General features: G+C 37.7%; 1 protein-coding gene across 28 annotated transcripts in view, besides 1 other annotated feature; it reads left to right on the forward strand.

Moving 5' to 3' along the window:
• The window catches only part of SMG7 (SMG7 nonsense mediated mRNA decay factor), an 81693-nt gene that overhangs the window by 4557 nt on the left and 58153 nt on the right, over positions 1-18983 (forward strand). The window lies entirely within an intron of this gene.
• Positions 3866-3945: an enhancer, noted in NCBI's record as "active region_2214". NCBI's record gives its function as "activates an Ori minimal core promoter by ATAC-STARR-seq in GM12878 lymphoblastoid cells {active_cell/tissue: GM12878}" and the evidence as "EXISTENCE:reporter gene assay evidence [ECO:0000049][PMID:35858748]".

Consider the following 18983-nt stretch of genomic DNA (forward strand, 5'->3'; position numbering starts at 1 on the left):
GCAGGAGTGGGGGAAGTATTAAAGTACCAGACAGAGAAGACATCAAAGTTGTTTTGGAAGATGAGAAAGTAGAATAATCATAGCTATAGGGAATACCAGTCAAACAGGTCAAATCCTGTTATAAAAGGTGGCACAGGTGCCACCGAATGACTTCTGCTGCCATTGTGGGAGCCACTGTTCATACTCTATGCTCCCTTCAACTTTCCTCCTTTTCTTCCTTCACTATTCTCTTTTGTCTCTAATTTCTTCCTATGCTGTGAGTGTTTCAGTGAGATCCACTTGAAGTGGATTCCTACTGTTAGACTCCTTTACAGGAAAGGTCCAGAAAGTATCTGTTTTGTTTTGTGTGTGTGTGTGTGTGTGTATGTGTGCATATGTGTATATATACATATATACATGTGTGCATATGTGTATATATGCATATATACACGTGTGTGCATATGTGTATATATGCATATATACATGTGTGTGCATATGTGTATATATGCATATATACGTGTGTGCATATGTGTATATATGCATATATACGTGTGTGCATATGTGTATATATGCATATATACGTGTGTGCATATGTGTATATATGCATATATACGTGTGTGCATATGTGTATATATGCATATATACGTGTGTGCATATGTGTATATATGCATATATACGTGTGTGCATGTGTATATATGCATATATACATGTGTGTGCATATGTGTGCATATATACATGTGTGTATGTGTGTATGTATACATATATGTATATGTGTCTATGCACATATGTGTGTATATATACATATATTTTTTGTATGATACATGTATAGTGAAGACGCTGCATCTCAGTGGCTCACTTGTCAGAAGTTTTGTTACTAATATAACAGCCACAGGGTTGTTTTCTAAGCCAGCAGAAAAATGGTTGTCATTTAAATAGGAAGTAAAATATCCAATATGGTATAAAATAAAAATGTATCACTATAAATCTTGAAACAGAGAGATAGTGGAGATAAGGCTGGATAAAGTAGCAAGCTAAGCCTTATCCTAGCCTGGGGAGAGGAACAGAGAAGATAGTGGGAGCATTGGGAGGAATATATAAATAGGATGGTCTCCAGGTTCTAGAAGAGTCTAGTAATGCTAGATCAGATAGTCACTGTATCCTGAAGCTTCTAGAAGTCTTAGAGCACATGCTGATTTTAGTCCATGTGGTCCACGAAGTCTTCTTCACCTGCCCCATCCCCTTCCTTTCCACCAGGTACATGCTTTACAGAATGTAAAGTAGCTTTTGTCCCGGAATATCAGCCAAAGGTGGTGACATTTTTTGAATGAATGACTGTCTCTTTAGGCTTATAAGTCTTTGTTATAACAGTGTTAATAGCTTATTACCTGCTTGGATATTGTCTGACTAAATTATTTTGGCAGTTAATTTCTGCTTCCCTTGTGGTTTCATTTGGATTCAAAATGTATACTTCCTGTCCTATCTTAGGTTTCATTTCTTTGCTTTCTAACAGCTGTGGTCTTCTGCCTTCATGGTAGAAGAAGCAATTGCTGAGTTTTATGTTGTTGTTTTTAATGGATGTGTTACAGTAAGATCTGGACCCACTAGTATTGCAAGTTTCATGAGGCAGTTTTGAGGTGGAGAGTGGTTCACACTTTAAAAGGGCTGGTGTGTTTTATACTTGAGAAAAATTGTTTCCTGCCTCCGGCTAGCCTTTCAAATTTTTGTATTAGTGTCATGAATGAGTGCCTGAAAGTTTAGATGGGTTAGTTTAATTGATCTTGTGTAGAGAATAAATTATAAAGCATACGTCTTGTAGATAGTGGATTATTCATCTGTTTGTAGGTATATTGGCAGATGGCCATTATATATTGCCATTAAAGTTTTGCAGTCAAGCCATATTTTAGTTTAGTTGCTGTATTGTTATGAATAGACTTATCAGCTGTCTGGGAAATTGTAACTAAGCATTTACAAGGAAATATAAGAGTGGAATTTTGGCAGGTATGTCACATGGTAAGTGACAGCTTGTAACCAGCTCTTTTTTTGTTAGTGTGTAAATGGAGCTGCTTAGGAACATTGTTTTTACTCTCCCTTAGACCCAGTTTTTAGTCAGTGGAAAGAGGAGGTGATTCTACTAATTGTCTAAGAAAATTTTAGGAATCTCAAGTAGACTATGTGGCAGCTTTGGGTTTTTTTCTTGTCTGTTTCATTTACAACAGGATTTCTCAACCTTGGCACTTATTGACGACTTGGTCCAGATAGTTCTTTGTTGTGGTGGGTTGTCTTGAGCATTGTAAGACGTTCAGCAGCATCCCTGGCCTCTATCCATTAAATGCCAGTATCTTCCCTTGCAATCGTGACAATAAAAAATGTCCACACATTGCCAGATGTCCCCTGGATTGTAAATTCACCCCCAGTTGAGAACCACTGATTTAGAAAATATATGTAGTAAAGATATATATGCACTGCATGGGTTCATTTTCTTGTTTTCTCCTCTAAGCCACAGATTGGATTTTCTTTTCAGTTTTCTTTTAGGTAGTAATAGGCTAGTTACCATAGGCAGACATTATCCATAAACATTTGTACATATTTTAATTTCTTAAATCTGTGTTCTTTTACTGGCAATTATTGAATACTTATTGTATAGAGCACAATTACCGGGGTTATGCCTTTGGCAAATTAAAAGAAAGACATTTAAGTAGCTATAATAGTAGGTCAAAGGTATTATGTAAGTATAGGCAAGAAGTTTATTCCAACAGAGGTGGAGATGGGGTGGAGAGGGTGTCTTTGAGGAGGTGAGATTTGGTTTGTACATTGAAAGATGGATGGGATTTTAATAAGTGGATATTGGGCAAATTGCCATTTCAGGCGGGAAGAACAACTCATGGCTCCTTTATTCCAAATAAGTTTTTTAAAAATTGATTCACTCACTTAATACATTGCATTAATTAGTATGCTGACCACATCTAAGTTTTTCTTAGATAAGGTAGGTTTATGGACAGAGAAGTGGTGATGTGGAAGTGGTAGTTCAAAGATTTGGTGGCTGCTGTAGGCCTCAAAAAGGGAAAAGGAATTTGGTCAGGCAGGATCCTACAGAATCCCTTCCTTTAACTGTACTCTTTAATGTTTACCATCCTTCAGGATCTTTTTTCACTTGTGTCGCTCTCTTCTTTTAAATTATTCCCTTTACCGATCTTACTTTCTGTGAACCAATCTCAATTTTCCTTTAAAAGGCCTTCCTGATCTGATTTTTCTTTTCAAGTTCTGTCCTTCTTTACCTTTGTTTTATGGCCAAGCGTTTCAAGTTTGCCCTAACCTATGTTTTTCCTTTAGTTACCATCTACTTTTCCTTAATCCCTTGCTATCAGTCCATTTTTTTCTGAGTACATTATTGAAATTACCATTTCCAAAGGTGCCAAAGACCTCACGGTGGCCAAATTCATTTACTGATTGTTTTCCTTTCCCTCAAACTCACACTTTTGTTTTCCTTCCTCTGTGTGTCCCCCTCTCTTGTATCTGTCCTTCTATCCATTCCACCAATAAACATTCAGTTTGGGCCATGCTATATCCCAGGTCCCTGGGGATAAAAAGAGACTGTGCCCTCAAGTAGTTTCACTGGGCATACAAGTAAGTACTCAATTACCAAATAGTTCATACTGGCAGTGGTATATACACAGAGGCTTTACAGGGTGTTCTGAGCTCTGTTGCGTTTAGCATCAAGATTTCATGATTCTAATTACATTGCCCATTCTTTTGAAAAATTCTTCCTACTGTTACCTTACCTGCATTTCTTCCTGCAAGCATCAAGAAGGAAGCATTGATCTGGGGCTTTAAGCACCATCTGCTACTTTCTGTGTGGGCTAACAACTTAACATTTCTGTGTCTTGATTTCTTTATTTGTAAAACGGAACATTGATCTCCTAAAATTGCTGTCAGTGTTAACAAAGGTTTACATGTGTTTAACAAATTCTGGTTCTTTTTCAGGTTCTTTACCACCTGTCCCCCTGCCAATTAATCTTTGCGTTGCTTCTATATTAATAGTCTTGAAAAAGTATTTGTATATGGCTTTCACTTCCTTAAACTCATTTATCTGGTATTGTTGGCCTTCCATAAAATGACCTGCACCTACCTCTGCCTCATGATATCTTCTTACTCCCTGATAGAAACCAACTGCCTTAGCCAGAGTAATCTCATTGTTTTCTAATCATGGCATATGCATTCCTGCTTAAATCTCTCTTCCCATGTCATTTCCCATGTGGGAAGTGCCACACTGTACTAGCTTAGCTTAAACTTCACCTTCTTTTGTGAAGACTTCCTTGTGTACTCTGGTGATTTCTGCATTCTTTAAACTTTGTAGCATTTCCTGTATCTTAGTCATTTGGTACTTGTAATTTCTTAATTTTGTAATGATCTCTTTTTTTATATGTGACTTATCTCTGCAGCTAGACTAAGTATGGTTGAGACCATGTTTCAGCATCTTTTAAATGTACAGTGTACATAATTGGTGTTAAATAAAATTGTCATGCTTTTGTTTTGTTTTTGCAAAACATTTAGGACTATTTACCGTATGCCAGTGCTAGGCTCTGAGAATATAAAAATGAACCGATACTTACTCTTTAGGATAGTGGCTCCTGAGGGAGACAGATGTGGCACAAATATTTCAATATAATGTAGTAAATACAGTGTGAAATGTTTTCAAGGAATTCCATGAGTGTACTAAGGGAAGTGGAACTTTTCCTGCATAGGAGGTTTAGGGAAAGCTTCTGGAGTTGAACACCAGAGTTCAGTTTTACTTATTTTTTTATTTTTCTCAGAGACAGGATTTCGCTCTGTTGCCCAGGCTGGTTTTGAACTCCTGGCCTTAAGTGATCCTCTTGCCTCAAGTGATCCTCTTGCCTCAGCCTCCCAAGTTGCTTAGATTTATAGCCATGAGCCACCATTCCCTGTGGGCTGAATTTTAAAAGGATGAGCAGGATTAGCCAGGTAAAAAAGAAGAGTATAGCAGGCAAAGAACAAAATGAGTAAATGCCTCAGTGCAGTGTGTTTGAAGAACTCTAAAAGAATCCTGATACTAGGAATGACTGAGTTTGGTTGATGTAAACATTATGATCAGATTGAGACTACCAGTCACATTAGGCCATATAAATTAGAGATTTTGATTAGTCCATATCTCATTCTGCATTTTTTTGTGTGGGGGTGGGGGGTCTAAGGTTTTTTTCAGTGAACCTGGTCATTAATCTTAAGGGAGCAGTTTATATTTGAGTAGCTGGTGTGTGTTATGCACATTCCTACTGGAATAGGGAGACACAAGAGAGAAAGATTTATATAATGCCTACAGTACTTCCTCTTGAGATATGTAAAGATTTAGATTTCCTCCCCCTACTTTTGTAAGTAGCCTCATCTTAGGTAAAAAAAAAAAATAGCTATTTGGAACATTATTAAATGATTACGTGGGAAATGATGACAGTGTTAGTGAGTACAGTAGTCCTCCCTTAATTATGGTTTTAGTTACCTTGTGGTCAATGGTAACTAAAAGTAGGTGGTCAGAAAATAGGTGAGTACAGTACAATATATTTTGAGAGAGTGAGAGACCATGTTCACATAACTTATTATAGCTTATGTCATAATTATTCCATTTTATTATTAGCTATTGTTAGTCTCTCACTGTGCCTAATTTATAAGTTAAACTATCATAGGTAAATCTGTATAGGAAAAAAGTGGTATATATAGTGTTTGTTACCACCTGAAGTTTCAGGCATCCACAGAGTCATCTCCCATGGATAATGGAGGACTAATGTACATGTAATTCTGAAAACAGCTTTGGGCTAATAGGACTTCATTTATAGAATCCTCACCTTGAGATAAGGAGGTAGAATGGAGGTAGAGTTGTGGGAAGGAGAAGTTCTACAGCATTAGGGGGAAATATCAGAAATCTTTAGTTACTAAGGTTAAGTGAAGTGTCTTTGGATTTAACTTTTTCAAGTCATAAAGAAGAAAAACTTTGCAGACCCTTTGATGATTAGTGTTTTGTTCTCACAGTTCTTGATGGCATTTTCCTACTGTTGTGTCTTGTCTTAAATGACAAGCATGATTCTGAAAGTCTGTTATAACTGCTATATTGCATTAATATTCTCATCTGTTTCCCAAAACTCTTTGGGTTCTTTTCTCAGATCGCAGAAGTTGAGTTCTTTTTCTTTCCTTCTCCTTCCCAAAGACATATAATAGTATTTCAGTGCTGTGTTAGTTGGGATACAGTATAATGGATGTGTCTGTTTTACTAATACTGCCTCTTAGAAAGGTTACGAATTATTTACTTTTGTATCAGGTGATCACCTAACCAGATTATCTTTGAGATACTGTACAGTAATGAGATAATTAGTAGTGAGGTAATCAAAGGAAAATGCAACTGGAAGATGGTATTCAAAGAGAAAAATGAGTTAAAGACTGCTTACTTGAAATTTTTTTTATTACTGGTGAAAAAAGTAAAAAAGCATAGTGTTGAGAGAACCACCATAGGATAAATTTGGACATTAAAGAGTGTCTTAGGACATCTGCAGAATTTTGTGTGTGTGCATACATACAACTTGTGTAATATATTATGAGGTGAAATTTTTGTACTTTTAACATCTAATTCTATGAAATCATATTCCTCAATTTCTGTTTAAGTAACCAAAATGACAGTATTATACCTTGTCTGAAATAATCATTAGTTTTGTTTTTTGATGAAAAAAGGTTAGACCATTTTAAGAACCACAACTCAAATAATAAGGCATACTGGCCATAAATTCTGGTTTATGAAAGGAAAATAATGTAACAGATTAATTGCTTTCTGGTTTTCTAATGTAATATATTAATTTGGTTGTTTAAACGCATACACAGGTCTTTTTGGCTCCCTAAGACAGCGGCACGGCATAGCAAGTTGAATGAGCCAAGGAGTTTGAATTAAGACTGGCTTAATTTGTATTTTGGTTGTCCTGAGTTCAGATCCCTATTATATACTAGCAATGTAACCTTGAAGCTCTCTAGTTTTTTACCTTGGCTACCTGTAAAATGACCATGGTAGAATTACTAGGAGAATTACATGAGAAGATAGACACAGTATAATCCCTCCATAGCCGTGGGAGATTGGTTCCAGGACCCCCACAATACCAAAATCTGTAGGTGCTCCTTTATATAAAATGGCATAGTACTTGCACATAACCTGCATACATTGTCTACTCTAAATCATCTCTAGATCACTTACAATATGTAATACAATGTAAAAGTTGTTACACTATATTGCTTTTTAATTTGTATTTTAAAAAATTGTTATTTTTTTCTGAAAAAAAATTTTTTTTTTTTTTTTTGGTCTACAATTGGTTGAATCCATGGATGAGGAACTCACCGATAGAGGGCCAGCTCATACCACAATAACCCTCATGCTTTCTGCTTTTTTGTTACCTGTGCTGTTTCTTTATACCTGAAATAACAATTAGTCTTTCCACTATTTTTGGCAGCTGATTTGAAGCTACAAGTGATGGCAGTTCTCAAGAATGTGTCACCAGGAACAATTCTCTCTCCCTTTAAATGCTAACAGGGAATTGTTAGCATTTCCTTTGTATGAGGGTTACTTGCTTTTGTGTTGGATTTGGGAGAGGTGTGCAGTATATCCTGATGTGGCCATATAGGTATATCCTTTAATATTAATCTTTGTGAAACTTAGGAGACTCCTGAGTTAATATCCTTTATCTAAAAATTTTTTGGTATGTGATTTTATTATTTTATAAATAATGTTTTTAGTAATCATTTTGACCTGTTGTTTGAAAGGCTTATTATACTCTTAGACCATCTGCCATATAGCTTCTGGGTTAGCTTCCATTCGCATGTAATCTGGCATACACTGACATACCTTTTCTTTTTTCAGTTCTGACATTGAGGCTTGTATAGACTAGCAATAAGGAATAACTTCACAGAGAGGCTGTTTGTTTGTTCTTTTGACATGATTGTTAGTAGTAATAGCCAGCACTTTTATGTTGTGCCAGACAGTATTCCAAATATTGTGTGTTTATTAACTCTTTGAATAGTAGATGTATACTATTATTGCTCTGTTACACAGCTAGGCAAACAGGCATAGGAGACATACATGCAGAAAGTGGCAGAGCTGGGTTTTGAACCTAGATATCAGGCTGATTCTATCTGTATCTGTATAGTTTTATAATCTTATTTGCTTAGGATTGTATGATTTTATTTTTATTTTATTTTTGTTTATATAAAACATAATGTAATATGTAGAATTATAAACATATATAATCTGAACACTCTTCTCATCAGTGTCAACCTTCCTAATGCACTTTTTCTTTGTAGATAATAAGCGGGAAGTGGGCCGGGTAGTTTTGCCAAAAAACTTACTTAGGGGAGATAAGTTTTTCTTGTATATTTGAAATTAATTCATTTAGATTGCTTTATCTTACTGACTAGTTGACCTGCTATTCCTCCCTTATTATAGCTGTTCTTTCTGCAGGTTTTGTCTTTAGTTAGTATCACTACTTAGATACAGTTTATTTCCTAGAACACTGGGGAATATTGAGAACCAGCTATTATGGGGGAAAATAACTTTGACCTATCAGGGCTAATAGTACAAGTAGTGAATGACTTGCCAGTTTTTGTGGATAACTTCACTGCAGAAGATTTGGATTCCATTTTCCTCACTGACTTGGTTATTACATAGAGATGTTTAGGTGCCAGCTTCTGACACTGAGGATTATAATTTTGCATGTATGAAATTTAAATCTTGGATAATAACTTGCTTCTAAAGGAAAATTCAATGTAACTTTTAAAAAGTAACAGATTACTAAAGCTATACTTTATATGTGACCTGATATCTTTGAATTTAATGTTTACCCTTGGAAATTTATTGTTACCTGAAATTGAGACAGCAAGACTGTGGTTAACTAGGAAAAGGGACAGCTTTCCTTTACTCACTTCCCAGTCTTAATTTCTTTCTTTCATATGACTTTACATTGCTCTTGAAAATTTCCTTCTTCCAGAAAGTCTTTCTTTGGATCATCTTAGAATTTTCTCAGGTAAATGAGTAGATGTTTCTCTTTTGTGTGTGCACCATGTTGTTCTCATGTTGTCATTTAAGAGGAGGGCTTTCTCTTAATTATTTTGGGACAACCTTAGAACCATACTGACACCCAGTAAATGTTGGCTAATAATATATGAGATTGCACTTACTGCAAACATTTTGAATTACGTGAATTTCTCAGAGTAATTGACATATTCAGTCTTCAAGGAATGGTAGAGTCTGAATAATTAGTACTATTCTTCATTGTTACATAAAACCAAGCACACTTGACTTAAGCAATGAAAAGAAGCAAAAACTGTATAAACTGTGTCACAGGCCTTTTTTTTGTGTGTGACGGATTCTTACTTTGTTGCCCAAACTGGAGTGCAGTGGTGCCATCTCGGCTCACTGCAGCCTCCACCTCCTGGGTTCAAGCGATTCTCCTGCCTCAGCCTGCTGAGTAGCTGGGATTACAGGCGCCCGCCACCACGCCTGGCCGATTTTTGTGTTTTTAGTAGAGATGGGGTGTCACCATGTTGGTCAGGCTGGTCTCGAACTCCTGACCTCGTGATCCACCTGCATTGGCCTCCCAAAGTGCTGTGATTACAGGCGTGAGCCACCACACCTGGCCTTTTCTTTTTTTCTGAGACAGGGTCTCACTGTGTCACCCAGGCTGGACTCCAGTCACGTATTCACAGCAACCTCTACCTCCCAGGCTCAAATGATCCTCCCACCTCAGCCTCCTGAGTAGCTAGGACTACAGGCGCACGCCACCACACCCAGCTAATTTTGGAATTTTTTTCTTCGTAGAGATGGGTCTCTCCAGGTTGCTCAGGCTGGTCACTGTCTTTTTAAAGAAATGCTGATAACACTGTAGATGTAAGAATTGAAGAATACAGGAGTTTATTAGGTTTTTAGTTGCAAGGAACAGAAAAAACACTGGCTCACTTAAGCGGTGAAAGGGCTGGAGATGTAGGACCAGTAGCGGTATTCGTTTCCTTTTCCTGCTCTAACAAATTACTACCACCATGGTGGGGTTAAAACACACAACAGTTCTGGAGGTCAGAGGTCCAAAATGGGTCCTACCAGGCTAAAGTCAAGGTGCCATTCCTTCTAGAGTGTCTAGGAGGAAAATCCTTTTTCTTGCCTTTTCCAGCTTTTCAGACTGCCCACATTCCTTAGCTCATGGCCCCCTTCCATCTTCAAAGCCAGTAGTCACATTACTCTATATTCTACTTCCCCCACCACTCTTTCTCTGACTCTCCTGCCTCTCTTTCACTTAGAAAGATCCTTGTAATCACATTGGACACACCCAGATAATTCAATACACTCTCCCTTTCTCAAAATCCTTAACTAATCACACCTGAAAAATCCCTGTTGTAGATAAAATTCAAGGTTCTGGGATTAGGATGTGGACATCTCTAAGGAGCCATTATTCTGCTTTCCACAATAGCTATACAGCCTGGAACAGTGCCTCAAATCACATCATAGAACTCAGCCTGTGAAGACACTTTGCAGAACCTTGATTGTGTCAGTTACTTTGCATCCCTGATCCTAACACCACTCATGCTGGCCCTATTGGAAATTGGATGTGCTTGCTGCTGCTATCCAGAATGGATTAGCCACAGTCCCCACTTTCTCTCATTAGTTCACACTTAAATGTGGGGTTGATGTGTTTGTTGATGGAGCCTGAATTATGTGTCTGTACACTAGCTGCAAATGAAGCTGGTAAATATATAATGGGAAGCAGGTTCTGCTTTATAAATTGTGGGGATTTCTCAAAAATAGGAAGAGAAATTCAGATGCTGGGCTTGAATACCAACCAGAGAGAACATATAAGTACAGTTGAGAGTCATTGGTATAAGGATTCCATTCGTTTGACAAACTGTACCAGAGATACACAGATGGATGAGATACATTTCTGTTTCTGTTGGTGCTAGCCAGAGCAAGAGTGGAAAGCCGTGTTCATATGTCAGTAGCCTAACATAAATCAGTACTATTTCTCTGAGACTCTGATAGGAAGCCAGCTCTGTTATGTGAAGGCTTTTCACTTAGTGTGTTTTTCATCTGTTCACCAAAAATTGCTATTGGCTGTACTTTTGCCTTTCAAATGGTGACATGAGAATAGTTGATAGAGGAAGGTGGGTAGGTTTTGAGGTTTTTCTCTTTCACTCCAGAAGGTTATCAGTTAAAGTGGTATTGATGTATAACTGTGCTGTCCAATATGGTACCCACTGGCCACATATGGCTATTTAAATGCATTTAAATAAAATGAAATTTAAGATCCAGTTTCTCAGATGGTGACATGAGAATAGTTGATAGAGGAAGGTGGGAAGGTTTTGTGGCTTTTCTCTTTTCACTCCAGTAGGTTATCAGTAACAGTGGTATTGATATATAACTGTGCTGTCCAGTGTGGTAGCCACTGGCCACATGTGGCCATTTAAATAGAATGAAATTTAAGATCTAGTTTCTCAGTTACACTAAGCATGTGTCAAGTGCTCATGTGGCTAGTGACTGCCATATTGGATAGCTCAGTTTTATACCCATGGTGTAGCATCTTTACTGTACAAGAGTCAATCCAGGAAAAGTAAAATGTTTATAAGGCTTTTTTTTTTTTTTTTTTTTTTTGAGACGGTCTCACTCTGTTGCCCAGGCTGGAGTGCAGTGGCAGTCTCAGCTCACTGCAACCTCCACCTCCCAGGTTCAAGTGACTCTCCTGCCTCAGCCTCCTGAGTAGCTGGGATTACAGGCACCCACCACCATGTCCAGCTAATTTTTGTGTTTTTAGTAGAGACGAGGTTTTGCTGTGTTGGCCAGGCAGGTCTCGAACTTCTGACCTTAGGTGATCCACCCGCCTTGGCCTCCCAAAGTGCTGGGATTACAGGCTTGAGCCACCACGCCTGGCCAAGGCTTTTTTTCTTTTTAACCCTAATTATTTTTCTTTTTGATATAGTTCATGAGTGTTCACAATATCTTTCACGTGTGTTAGATGTTTTCACCGACAGAATCCTGCACAATAGGCTTAATTAACCCTCACTTTTCATACAGAAAATTGAAGCTTAAAAAAAAAAGTTCAATCAACAGAGTTAGACAGGGCTTGAATTTTATTTAATTCTACTCAATCCAATATAAAATACCTAAGGTGCTAAGTACTGTGTTAAATAGTAAGATACTAAAAAGCTAGCTGCTCTGCCCAGGTCTGGTCCTCATTCTCGGGTTCTTGTCAGATCTTTCTGCTTGGGCTGGGCAAGGGAGGACAAGTGGAATAACTTTGTGAAGGGCAAGTGTGGTTTCTTTGAAATTGGTTACAGAGTGCTCTGGCTGTTGTACATCTAACTCCTAGGTCCTACAGCTTGGGCTGGGACCTCACCTCCCTAAGGATGGTTAGATGTGAAGAATGAGTGGGAGAGAGATTGATTCATCGATGATATTGATGTTGACCATAGAGAAATAGTAGCGCTTTTAATGGAAATGAGGAATAAAAGGGAATATTTAATGAATATCTATGGTGAGATGCCAGATAGACAATTGGAATAGGACCATGGCTGGGTTAGAATTATTGCCTTTGTATTGTCTTCAATAATGGTGAGACTTGAATCTACAAGCTGGGAAGTATGAATTAAAGAAGTATAAGGGCATTAGGGCCAGCTTCTTAGGGAACAAGTACCAGATAGTAATAAAGATCAACTTCTATTCTCAATGGTTTTGTTACTCTACCTATTTAGGTGGAAGGAGAAAGAAGAAACAAGAAGTGACCTATCGAAAACGTGAGAGGGACTAGGAAAGACTGAGCAGAAAAGTTTTAATGAAGGGGTTGCTCTAATGCAATAGTTTGCAAAATGTGGTCCCCAGATGAGCATCATCAGCATCACCTGGGAACTTACTAGAAACACAAATTTTTGAGCCCCATCTCAGACCAGCTGAATCAGAACCTCTTGGGATATGGCCCAGCAATCTGGGTGATCCAGGGCTAGTTTTTGAAAAAACACTGGTAAAGTATGGTATTGAGTACTGAGAGTTTGGGAAATACAAGGACTGAGAAAAAGCTCTTAGATTGGTCAGGGAAGGTCATTGGTAACACTTGAGCAAATTTGCTACAATGATAAAAGACCCTAACTGCAAGTTTAGAGATGACTTAGGTAATCAGAAAGTAAAGCCAGTAGCTATATATATTGTCTTTTCATAAAGTTCAAAGACAGGGAGAAAGATGGATGCTTGATGGCAAAAGCAGGATGGACGGAAACTTAGGTTGGAAGGACTGGAGTACATTTTATGTTTTGGGCTTCAACAGACAATATAAAAGGGCATTTATTTTGTAGAAATTGTTTTATTCTTACCTGTGGACATTTTCTATGCAGAAAGCATTTTAAGTATAAAATATTTTAAAATTGGCTTATAGGAGACTGATATTTTAATAACTATTATAAATGTATATCTGCATTGAATAAAATAAAAACGTTAAGATTAAAAAATTTGGTAACATTACATTGCCACCGCTACTGTTAATACTTTCTAGTCTTTTTATCAATATAGAATATGCATTTTATGCATATACAGATAATGCATTTTAAACATATACTGTTTTAATCAAATTCTCTATGTAATAAAATATATTTATTTTAAATGTATAGTTAAGAATTTTGACAAACATATGCCCCTATAACCATCACCCTGATCAAGAACATTTCAAATCCCCCCAAAGTGCTTTTATTTATATATTTAATTTGAGATGGAGTCTCACTCTGTCGCCCAGGTTGGAGTGCAGTGGCACAATCTTGGTGCACTGCAACCTCTGCCTCCCAGGTTGAAGCAATTCTCCTGCCTCAGCCTCCTAAGTAGCTGGGATTACAGGCATGCGCCACCATGCCTGGCTGATTTTTATATTTTTAGTAGAGCTGGGGTTTCGCCATGTTGGCCAGGCTATTCTCAAACTCCTGACCTCAGCCTCTCAGAGTGCTGGGATTACAGGCGTGAGCTGCCATGCCTGGCCTCAAAGTGCTTTTAGACCCCTTGCAGTCAATCTTAACTCTGCTTAACCCTCTGTGCCTCAGGCAATCATTACTCTGATTTTTTTCAATGTTAAGTTTGTTCGCATGTCCGGTAACTTCTGAAGTGGGATGATGTAATGCATTATTTTGTGCCTGTATTCTGTTGGCATAAAACATGCCAAGCAATTAATGCACATTGTTGTACACATTCATAGTTCCTTCCTTTGTTTACTGCTGAATAATATTCTTTTGTGTGAATATATAATTTGTTTATCCATTCAGCTTTTGATGAACCTTTAGGTTGTTTCTAATTTTTTGCTATTATGAATAAAGCTAGAACATTCTGTCTAAGTCTTTTTGTGTACATGTGTTTTCATTTCTCTTGGTTTGCATGTATGTATTTTGGGATATAAATGTGTGCATGTGCATGTATAGAATGTTACATACATGCACATATATATACACTCGGGTACATACATATGTGGCTATATACATATATATATATCTCCTAGTCTGTGGCTTGTCTTTTCGGTTTTTAATGTATCTTTTGAAGAGCATAAGTTTTAAATAAATACTGATGAATCTAGTTTATTAGGTTTTTTCTTTTATTGAATCTTAGCTAAGAATTCTTTATCTATCATGGATTGGTGTCTTGATCTATTTGTGCTGCTATAATAAAATACCTAAGACTAGGTAATTTATAAGCAACAGAAATTTATTTCTCACAGATCCAGAGGCTGGGAAGTCCAGTATTAAGGTGCCGGCAGGTTCGGTGCTGGCAAGAGCCCAGTCTCTGCTTCCAAGATGGCACCTTGTTGCTGCCTTCTCTACAGGGGACAAATGCTGTGTCCACATATGGCAGAAGGGATGGAAGGGCAAAAAAGGCCGTACCTAATTCTCTCCAGCCCTTTCGTATGGCACTGATCTCATCCATGAAGGCAGAGTCCTCATAGTCTGATCACCTCCTAAAGGCATCACCTCTTAATACTGTTGTGTTGGGGATTAAGATTTAACATGAATTTTGGAGGAGGAGGCACAAGCCGTCATACCATACCAGGCAGTAAAAATTTACTCCTTAGTTTTCTTCTAGAAATAGATTAAGTCTGTGATCCATTTTGGGTTAATTTTTCTGTGATGTATACTATTGTTTGAGGTTAATTTTTTTCTAGTTTTAAAATTTTCATCCAGTTGTTCCAGCATCACTTGTTGAGAAAATTGTTTTTCCCATTAAATTACTTTGATACCTTTGTCAAAAATATATTGGCTATACATGTAAAAACACACATACACGTATACATAAATGTAGAAATAGGTGAGCCTGTTTCTGACCTCTGTTCTGTCCTATTTCTCTGCATGTCTTTCCTTTGACTACTATACTGTCTTGATGACCACAACTCTCTAGTAAGTTTTGAAATCAGGTAATCTAAGTTCTCTATTTTTTGGGAATTGTTTTAGCTATTCTAGGTTTTTGCATTTCCAGATAAATTTTAAAATAGCCTGCCAGTTTCTAACGAAAACAATCTGCTTGGGTTCTGATTGCAATTGTGTTATAACTATAGTTCAGTTTGGGGAGAATTATATAAATCCTTCTGAAGAATCAGCTTTTGTCTTTCACTTATTTTCTGTGTCTTTGTTTTCTGCTCTTCACTATTTCCTTCCTTCTACTTTATTTGGATTTAATATGCTGTTCTTTTTTTTATAGCTTCTTAGATGCTTAGGTAGATGCTTAGATCAAGGCTTTTAGACCTATTTTAACATAAGCATATAAAGCTATAAATACCTCTCTAAGCACTGCTTTTATTGCATCCGACACGTTATATATGTTTCCGTTTTCATTTGGCTTAAAATATTTTCCAGTTTCTCCTGTGATTTATTCTTTGACCTGTGATTATTTATTATTTATTTTATTTTATTTGTTTTTAGAGACACGATCTCGCTCTGTTGCCTAGGTATTGTGCAGTGGTACAATCATAATTCACTGCGACTTCAAACTCTTAGGCTCAAGTGATCCTCCCACCTCAGCCTCCTGAGTAGCTGGAACTACAGGAATGCACTGCCACTGTTCCTGGCTAATTTTTACAAACTTTTTTATAAAGATAGGGTCTTATTGTATTGCCCAGGTTGGTCTCAAACTCTTGGCCTCAAGCGATCCCCTGGCCTCAGCCTCCCAAAGTGTTGAGATTACAGGTGTGAGCCACTACACCCGGCAACCTATGATTATTTAGAAATGTTTGATTCATTTCCAAATATTTGAGGAATTAGAGAACTTTATTCTTTAACTTAGACAACTAATTCTAGTTGTTTATATATATATTTTTAAATTTGTACTTCTATGACTTTAATTCTTTTAAATTTCTGAGATTTGTTTTGTGGTTCAGCATATGTTCTATCTTGGTGAATGTGCCATGTGCACTTACAAAGAAGGTGTATTCTTTTGTTGGGTAAAATGTTCTCTAAATGCCAGTGGGATCTGTTGGGTTATAACCTTAGTGTTGGTCTAACCTCACTGGTTTGTTTTGTTTTTGTTTTTTATTGAGACGGAGTCTTGCTCTGTCACCCAGGCTGGAGTGCAGTGGCGCAATCTCGGCTGATTGCAACCTCTGCCGCCCATGTTCAAGTGATTCTTGTGCCTTAACCTCCCAAGTACCTGGGACTATAGGCACACGCCACCACACCTGGCTAATTTTTGTATTTTGAGTAGAGACGGGGTTTCGCTGTTGGCCAGGCTGTTCTCGAATGCCTGACCTCAGGTGATCTGCCCGCCCTGGCCTCCCAGAGTGCTAGGATTACAGGCGTGAGTCATAGCACCCGGCCACTTTACTGGTTTTCTGCCTACTTTTTGTTAGTTATTGAGAGAGTTTTGGAATCTCCAAATAATTATAGATTTATCTATTTCTCTATTCCCTGTTTCTGTTTTTGTATTTTCTTTTTTGCTTGTTTGAAACAGGGTCTTGCTCTGTTGCCCAGGCTGCAGTGCAGTGACACCATCATGGCTCACTGCAGTCTCAATCACCTGGGCTCAAGCAATCCTCCCACCTCAGCCTCCTGAGCAGCTGGGACTACAGGCATACGCCACCATGCCTGCCTAATGTCTTCTATTGTTTTATGAACTGTCTTACTCTTTTTTAAATTGCTCTAGTATTTATATTATGCACCTTTATATTATATAATTTTATGTATAATATAAAATGTTACAACAATATAGTACTTTCATTTTCCTTTCCTTTTGTTTGTACTACTATTGTCAAACAGCTTCTATATTTGTTTTAAGTTTCAAAATTTAGGGGACTTTTTTGGTTTTTGTTTTTTTTTTCTTAAAACAATAAATTGACTTTTAAATAAGTTTTAAAACAAAGAGAAAAAAGTTATTTTATATTTACTCATATATTTACTATTTCTGGCACTCGTCATCTCTTTGTTTAGTTCAAGGCTTCCATCTGGTATCATTTTCTTCCAGCCCAAAGAGTTTCCTTTTTAATATTCCTTATGGTATTGATCTCTTGGCATCAAATTTCCTCAGCTCTTATGTTTCTAAAAAAAAAAACGTATTTTTTTCACCTTTGGTTTTAAAGAATATTTTTGCTGGGTATAAAATTATAGATTGGCATTTTTTCCCTAGTATTTTAAAGATGTTATTCTATTATCTTCTGGCTTGTCTTTTTTCTGATAAGAACTTAGCTAGCCCTTGTTCTTTTTTTTTTTTTTTTTTTTTTTTTTTTGAGATGGTGTCTCGCTCTGTTGCCCAGGCTGGAGTGCAGTGGTGCAATCTCGGCTCACCACAACCTTGGGTGTCTCGCTCTGTTGCCCAGGCTGGAGTGCAGTGGTGCAATCTCGGCTCACCACAACCTTGCCTCCCGGGTTCAAGCGATTCTCCTGCCTCAGCCTCCCGAGCAGCTGGGACTACAGACACACGCCACCATGCCCAGCTAATTTTGGTGTTTTTAGTAGAGACAGGGTTTCACTATGTTGGCCAGGCTGGTCTCCAACTCCTGACCTCATGATCCATCCACCTCGGCCTCTCAAAGTGCTGGGATTACAGGCGTGAGCCACCGTGCCCAGCCTCTTATTTTAATCCTTCTTAGGTAATATATATATATTTTTTTCTCTCCTTTTATCATTGTTTTTCAGCGATTTGATTAAAATGCCTTTGTGTGGTTTTCTTTTGTGTTTAAATGCTTGTAGTTGAGCTTCTTAGATTTATAGGCTTATAATTTTCATCAAATTTGGATCCTGCAATTGCCATTGAAGTCTGTATGTTCATTTCTCATGTATAATTCATGTGAGAAAATACGGTAAACCTGTGTTATCTGGTAATTCTCATTAATAAAAAATTTCTAAAATTAGGATTTTTGTTTTACATTATGTTGAGGAGGAAGAGAGAGTGAGGAAAACAACTAGAGAGAACTCCTGGGAAAGAACTTACGCTAGAAGCTAAAACCAGGAGGATTTCTTGAAGAGTTCTTTATCAGATTCAAGGGAAGTAGGATGTGGGTGTGTCTTATGCTGTTCAAAAAGGCAAACTGGGCCAAGCGAGGTGGCTCACGCCCCTAATCCCAGCACTTTGGGAGGCCGAGTCGGGCGGATCATGAGGTCAGGAGTTCGAGACTAGCCTGGACAACATGGGGAAACCCATCTCTACTAAAAATACAAAAATTAGCCGAGTGTGGTGGTGCGTGCCTGTAATCCCACCTACTCGGGAGGCTAAGACAAGAGAATCGCTTGAACCCAGGAGGCAGAGGTTGCAATGAGCCCAGATTGTGCCACTGTGCTCCAGCCTAGGTGACGAGCAAGACCTTTTCTCAATGGAAAAAAAAAAAAGGCAAACTGAATAAATCATAAGCAATGAGATATTTACACTTTAGCTTTTAATATATGAACTGTTGAAAATTGAGGCCTGTCATGCATTGTAAAATAATGAGCAAAAAAAGTTTAGGCTCCAGAATTCTGATACTGTGCCTGGATTTGAATTCCAG

The sequence above is a fragment of the Homo sapiens genome, chromosome 1, assembly GCF_000001405.40.
Source record: "Homo sapiens chromosome 1, GRCh38.p14 Primary Assembly".
In the NCBI taxonomy this organism is placed as follows: domain Eukaryota; kingdom Metazoa; phylum Chordata; class Mammalia; order Primates; family Hominidae; genus Homo; species Homo sapiens.